Source organism: Homo sapiens, chromosome 10, assembly GCF_000001405.40.
Source record: "Homo sapiens chromosome 10, GRCh38.p14 Primary Assembly".
NCBI lineage: Eukaryota > Metazoa > Chordata > Mammalia > Primates > Hominidae > Homo > Homo sapiens.
In genome coordinates this window covers 70,619,850-70,626,827 of record NC_000010.11, presented here as the reverse complement: position 1 = coordinate 70,626,827, position 6,978 = coordinate 70,619,850, and the positions used below count along the sequence as shown (strand labels likewise).

Here is a 6,978-nt window from a genome sequence, read left to right as displayed (position 1 = left end):
TGCCCAAAGTAGTCAAGTAATAGTTTTTCTCACACGCATCCGTGTGAAGAGATCACCAAACAGGCTTTGTGTGAGCAATAAAGGTTTTTAATCATCTGGGTGTAGACGAGCTGAGTCCAAAAAGAGAGTCAGTGAAGGGAGATACGGGTGGGGCCGTTTTATAGAATTTGGGTAGGTAGTGGAAAATTACAGTCAAAGGGGGTTGTTCTTTGGTGGGCAGGGGCAGGGGACATAAGGTGCCCAGTGGAGGAGCTTCTGAGCCAGGAAAAGGAATTTCACAAGGTAGTGTCATCAGTTAAGGCAGGAACCGGCCATTTTCATTTCTTCTGTGATTCTTCACTTGCTTCAGGCCATCTGGATGTATATGTGCAGGCTTGGGCTCAGAGGCCTGACAGTTTTGTTTTATACATTTTGTGGGGGACAGAAGTTACAAGCAAAGACATAAATCAATACATAGAAGATGTACATTGGTTCAGCCCAGAAAGGCAGGACATTTTAAAGGAGGGACTTACAGGTATAGGTGGATTCAAAGATTTTCTGATTAGCAATTAGTTGAAAGACTTAAGCTTTGTCTAAAAATCTGAAGTCAGTAGAAAGAAATGCTTGAGTTAAGGGGGATTGTGGAAGCCAAGGTTCTTGTTATGCAGATGAAGCCTCCAGGTAGCAGGCTTCCTGAAAAGATGGCTTTGAAGGACTCTTTTAAAATATGTCAAATAATTATATTTTAGACTAAAATATTTTTATTTCCTTCAGGGTCTGCTATCTGTCATGTGATGTTATCCCAGAGTCAGGCTGGAATTTGCTACAAATAATCTGTTTTGTCAGCTTTATGATCTCTATTTTATGTTAATGCTGGTCAGTTGTTCCTAAACTCTTAAAAGGGAGGAGGTATAAAAAGGTGTGTCTGACCTCCCTTACTGTCATGGCCTAGAGTTGAGTTTTTCAGGTTTCCCTAGGATCCCCTTGGCCAAAAGGGTTCATTCAGTCTACTGGGGGACTTAGGATTTTTTTTCTTTGAGACAGAGTCTCACTCTGTCACCCAGGCTGGAGTGTAATGGTGCGATCTCGGCTTACTGCAGCCTCCACCTCCTGCGCTCAAGCGATCCTCCCACCTCAGCCCCACAAGTAGCTGGGACTACAGACACATGCCATCATGCCCAGTTGTTTTTTGTTTTTGTTTTTGTTTTTGTTTTTGGTAGAGACAGGGTTTCATGTTGCCCAGGCTGGTCTTAAACTCCTGAGCTCAGGTGATCCACCCATCTTGGCCTTCCAAAAGGCTAGGATTACAGGCATAAGCCACCATGCCCAGCTTTTAGGATTTTATTTTGGTTTACACCTTCATAGTTCTTAGTTAGGACAGATCCCTGGAACAAAAGAGTGACAAGAGAATAACAAACAGAAGTTTAATAACACATATACTTTATGCATATAAAACCATCCTTTCAGGGTTAACAAGAAATACATGCAGTGTTCTGGGCAGAAATATACTCATTATTAAGCATTAGGAGCACTAAGCAGGCTGCACTTTGGCCCACTTCTTTGTAATTTATCTTTTTTTTTATTTTTATCTATTTTTTTTTTTTTTTGAGACAGAGTTTCACTCCTGTTGCCCAGGCTGGAGTGCAATGGCGCGATCTCGGCTCACTGCAACCTCCGCCTCCCAGGTTCAAGCGATTCTCCTGCCTCAGCCTCCCCAGTAGCTGGGATTACAGGCATGTGCCACCACGCCCAGCTAATTTTGTATTTTTAGTAGAGACGGGGTTTCTCCATGTTGGTCAGGCTGGTCTCGAACTCCCGACCTTATGTGATCCGCCCGCCTCGGCCTCCCAAAGTGCTGGGATTACACGAGCCACTGAGCCCGGCACTTCTTTTAATTTAAAGTCACGTAGCACTAGATCCCCACCATCTGCATTCCCACTGTTCCTACAGATAGGATCTCTGACACCTAAGGCTTTTGTTTAAGAATTACTTAAGATGGCCGGGCGCGGTGGCTCATGCCTGTAATCCCAGCACTTTGGGAGGCCGAGGCGGGCAGATCACGAGGTCAGGAGATGGAGACCAGCCTGGTGAACACAGTGAAACCCCGTCTCTACTAAAAATACAAAAAATTAGCCGGGCGTGTTGGCAGGCACCTGTAGTTCCCAGCTACTCGGGAGGCTGAGGCAGGAGAATGGCGTGAACCCGGGAGGCGGAGCTTGCAGTGAGCCGAGATCACATCACTGCGCTCCAGCCTGGGTGACAAAGTGAGACTCCGTCTCAAAAAAAAAAAAAAAAAAAAAAAAGAATTACTTAAGATGTTTTCAGATCCTGAATTCCAGCTGAACAGCTGATGCCCATCAGCTTGAAGACTCCCACAGAGGAGCTGAATCAACATGAGAATGCAGTTTCTTCATCTCCCCATCCCAGGATTTCACGCTGCACTCTTTGACCAATCAACAATCTCCACACCTTGGCCACTCCAAACTCCTTAAAATCTCTAACCCCCAACTCCTCTGGGAGGCAGATTTGAAGTTTCCTCTTGCCTCCTTGCTGGGCAGCCCTATGATTAAAACTTTTTCTCTGATGCAACTCTCAGTGTTGATGTATTGACTTACCATGTATACTGCAACAGACTTGTTTATGGTCAAACATACATAAGATACCTAGAGTAAATGAGTAAATCTCAAAGAGATGGCTCTGAGTTCAGGCTTAGATATAATCTTCAGCTAAAACAAAAATACAAGGGTGTGAAGAAGGCCAGCTGTGGGGAGATGCCCAAGAAAATCTCAAGCCGGGTGCAGTGGCTCATGCCTGTAATCCCAGCAATTTGGGAGGCCAAGGCAGGCGGATCACTTGAGGCCAGGAGTTTGAGACCAGCCTGGGCAACATGGTGAAACCCCATCTCTACTAAAATTACAAAAATTAGCTGGGCATGGTGGTACATGCCTGTAATCCCAGCTGAGGCAGGAGACTTGCTTGAACCCAGTGGGTGGAAGTTGCAGTGAGCCTAGATCATGCCACTGCACTCCAGCTTAGGTAAACAAAGTGAGACCCTATCTCAAAAAAAAAAAAAAAAAAAAAAGAAAAGAAAAGAAAATAGGATAAGGTTTGTTAGGCAGATTTAAGTTGATACCTTCTCCACTGATAAGAGTTTCCAGTGATTTAACATCATTCTTCTCTTTCTGGTACTGAGCAGGAAACATCTTTACAAATGGAGATTTCCTTTATGGCTTTTAATTTCCCTTATAAAAGGGTAATTTTTACTGTGTTTTCAGAGCTTCTCCTATGTCTGCAGTTTCTCAAAATTTTAAGGGATCTCTAGGGTGTTGACTTTTCTGGCCAGAAACCTCTGTGGCCACAGCACTATTGCCCAAGTTCTTGTCCTGTATCCAAAAGAATGAGGTATGCAGACAAGTGAAGGGTGAAGAAGAGTTTTATTTAGTGTTAGAACAGCTTAGAGGAATGGGTAGCTCCTCTCTGTAGGCAGGTCATCCCATCCAGTGTTCAGCTCTCCACAAAAAGGAGGCCCTGGAGAGGATAACTCCTCTCTGCAGGCAGGTCATTTGGACATTTCTGCAGGTCTCTGCAGCTATCAGCAGAGAAAGTACTCCTCTTTGCAGGTGGTCCTCCCATCATCTCCGCCCTCTTCGTCCTGTGCCCCACTCTGGCTGAGCCCTGGGCTTTTATGGGCCTTGGAGGGAAGGAAGTACATGCCAGTTGGTCCCTGGGTGGCCATGGGAGGCCCAGAAGAGGCACCACAAGTCCCCCCACCAGTCTGCCAATCTGCAGGACTGGCAGCCCGGTCCCCAGCCTTCAGACCTTCCCTGGCCTGAAGGTGTGGCCTTACTGGGGACCTGCCTCCTTCCACCCAAAAATCAATTTGCCTCCCACTGCCATTCATGGCCCCTGGGCTTGGCCCCAACACCCCCTCCAAGATCAGAGGAGGCACCATGAGTGAAGAGAAGCCAGGCAGTGGGAAAAGACACCTCTGAGCTTGGAGGGATGGAGGAGTGTCCTTCCTAAGGCCACTGAGGGTGCAGGCTGCAGAGACACCAGCTCCTGCACCTGGGAGGGCGGTCACAGCCACACCCAGGAGGGCAGATCCTGCCTGCTCCCAGACCTCCTCAAAGAGCACAGCTGCAATTTGGACGGCTGTAGCCCCACCCAGGAGGGTGAGTCTCCTGTGTGCTCTGTAGAGCAGGAGGCCTGGGTCTGAAGCTGCTGGTTGGGCAGTTGCAGCAGCACCCAGAGAGCTCTCCTCCCAACTCCCACCAGCTTTATGGAGTGTGCAGCCAAAGCCGTGCCTCCCTGCTGCAGCCAGCATGATGGCAGCAGCCACTGCCATCAAAAATACTCAGCTCGGCCAGGCGTAGTGATTCACATTTGTAATCCCAGCACTTTGGGAGGCTGAGACAAGCAGATCACGAGGTCAGGAGATCGAGGCCATCCTGGCTAATATGGTGAAACCCCGTCTCTACTAAAAATACAAAAAAAAAAAAAAAATTAGCCAGCCATGGTGGCAGGTGCCTGTAGTCCCAGCTACTCAGGAGGCTGAGGCAGGAGAATGATGTGAACCTGGGAGGCGGAGCTTGCAGTGAGCGGAGATCGCACCACTGCACTCCAGCATGGGCAACAGAGTGAGACTCTGTCTCAAAAATAAATAAATAATAATAATCAGCTCAAAATCATTCTTATGCCAGAGGCATATTTTGGAGTGGCATATTCTGATCTGCTAAAACCATATTTTAGAGTAACATATTTTGTTTTTTTACAATATTAAATCTTTCTCCTTTTCTGAAATGTGCATTTATGACCATAAACTTCCCTCTAAACATAATATTAGTTGCATCCCATGTATTTTAGTGTATCATATTTTTATCATTCAGTTAAAAGTATTTTCTGACTTATTCTTTGATTTGGAACTTATTTTGAAGGATATTGGTGTTAGAAGAAAAGTTTTAGACAAATTAAATTTAACAGAGTTTAATTGAGCAAAGAACATTTCACAAATTGGGCAGTCCCTAGAACCAGAAGAGGTTCAAAGTGACTCTGGTGGTTGGAAAGGATTTATGGACAGAAAAGGGAAAGTGAAATACAGAAAACAGAAGTGAGACGCAGGAACAGCCAGATTAGTTGCTTGGCAGCCAATCCAAAAGGCAACTAAGCGTTTGCCTTATCTGAGCATGGTTTGAACCATTGGCTGCCTGTAAGTGGTTGAAATATGACTGCTGTGATTGGCTAAGACCTACTTGTTACAAGAGTAGGTTACAAGGCCTGGCATGGTCGCCCACACCTATAATCCTAGCACTTTGGGAGGCCAAGGCGGGTGGATCACCTGAGGTCAGGAGTTCAAGACCAGCCTGGACAACATGGTGAAACCCCATGTCTACTAAAAATACAAAAATTAGCTGGGCATGGTGGTGCGCACCTAATCCCAGCTACTTGCGAGGCCGAGGCACAAGAATCACTTGAACCTGGGAGGTGGAGGTTGCAGTGAGCCAAGATTGTGCCATTGCACTCCAGCCTAGGTGACACAGTGAGACTCTCTGTCAAAAAAATAAAATAAAATAAAAGAGTAGGTTATAGTCTGTTTACACATCCAGTTAGGTTACAGTTCATTACTTACTGAGAAACCTTTAGGCCAAACTTGAACTATGTAAGGAGGCAGCTTTAGGCTAAATGTAATTTAACCCTTGTATATTTTCAAACATTTTGATTTTTTGTTTGTTTGTTTTTTTGTTCTTGTTATTGATTTCTTGCTTAATCCACTGAGTAACATTCTCTGTAAATTTTTAATCCATTGAAATGTTTTGAGATATTTTATGGCCCAGTAAATTGCCAATTTAGGTAAATGTTCAGTACGCACTTGAAAAAAAGACATATTTCTTTTGTAAACCAAAAACAAAATCCTAAGCTACCCAACTGATTGAATGGACTCCCTCTGGGCCAAGGAAAACCTGAAAAAATGAATTCCAAATCATGATGGGAAGGGAAGTTGGAGAGGCCTCATTATGCCCCCTCCCTTTTGGAGTTTAGGCACAACTGGCCAGCATTAATATTAAAAGAGAGATCATAAGACCGACAAAACAGACTCTTTGTAGTAATAAAACACAAAATTCCAACCTAACTCTGGTATGGCATCACATGCTGTCTGCGGGCTGCCACCTATGAGACTTCATCTACGTAACAAGGGCCTTGGCTTCCACAACCCCCTTGTCTTAGCTCAAGGATTCCTTTCTACTGACTTCTTAAGCCTTTAGACAAAGCTTAACTCTTTCAACCAATTGCCAATCAGAAAATCTTTGAATCTACCTATATGACCTGGAAGCAGTCCCCTCCCCATAAGACATCCCACCTCTTTAGGCTGAACCAATGTACACCTTCCATGTATTGACTTATGTCTTTCCTTGCAACTCTTGTTCCCTAAAATGTATAAAACCAAACTGTAGCCCAACCACCTTGGGCACACTTTCTTAGGACCTCTTGAGAACGTATCCTGGGCCATGGTCACTCATATTGGCTCTGAATAAGCCTCTTTAAATATTTTACAAAGTTTAGCCTTTTCATCAACACTTTGGTGTATGGGTACAGTGTCCTATATATGTCAGTTGGGTCAAGCTTATCATTGCATTGTTCAATTTTTTTGTATCTTTACTGATTTTATTGTCCACCTGTTTTATCAGTTAAAAAGAGAGGTATGTTAACATATTTCACTACAGTATGTATTTATTCTGTTTCATTACTTCAGTTTTCTTCTTTAAGGTCTCTTTTATACATGGGTTGGATCTTCTCTATCTTCCATATCTATCACCTTTATATCTTTTTTTAAACCAGTCTCCACTTTTGATTTTTTTAATTTCCTCTGTTTCATCTTCTATTTCTCTTATGACATTATTTATGTTATTTATTCATTCTAGCTTCTTTTTATTTCTAAAATGGTTAGAGGTTTTTTTTAGAAAAGAAAAATGGTTTTTTCCTAACTAAATTCTGTGTGAGCTC

The 6,978-nt window shown here is 44.0% G+C and overlaps 1 annotated feature.

Annotated features, from left to right (window-relative positions):
- Nucleotides 952-1,541: an enhancer, noted in NCBI's record as "H3K27ac hESC enhancer chr10:72385043-72385632 (GRCh37/hg19 assembly coordinates)". NCBI's record gives its function as "activates a minimal SCP1, AML or CMV promoter by ChIP-STARR-seq in primed H9 embryonic stem cells {active_cell/tissue: H9 hESC(primed)}" and the evidence as "EXISTENCE:reporter gene assay evidence [ECO:0000049][PMID:30033119]".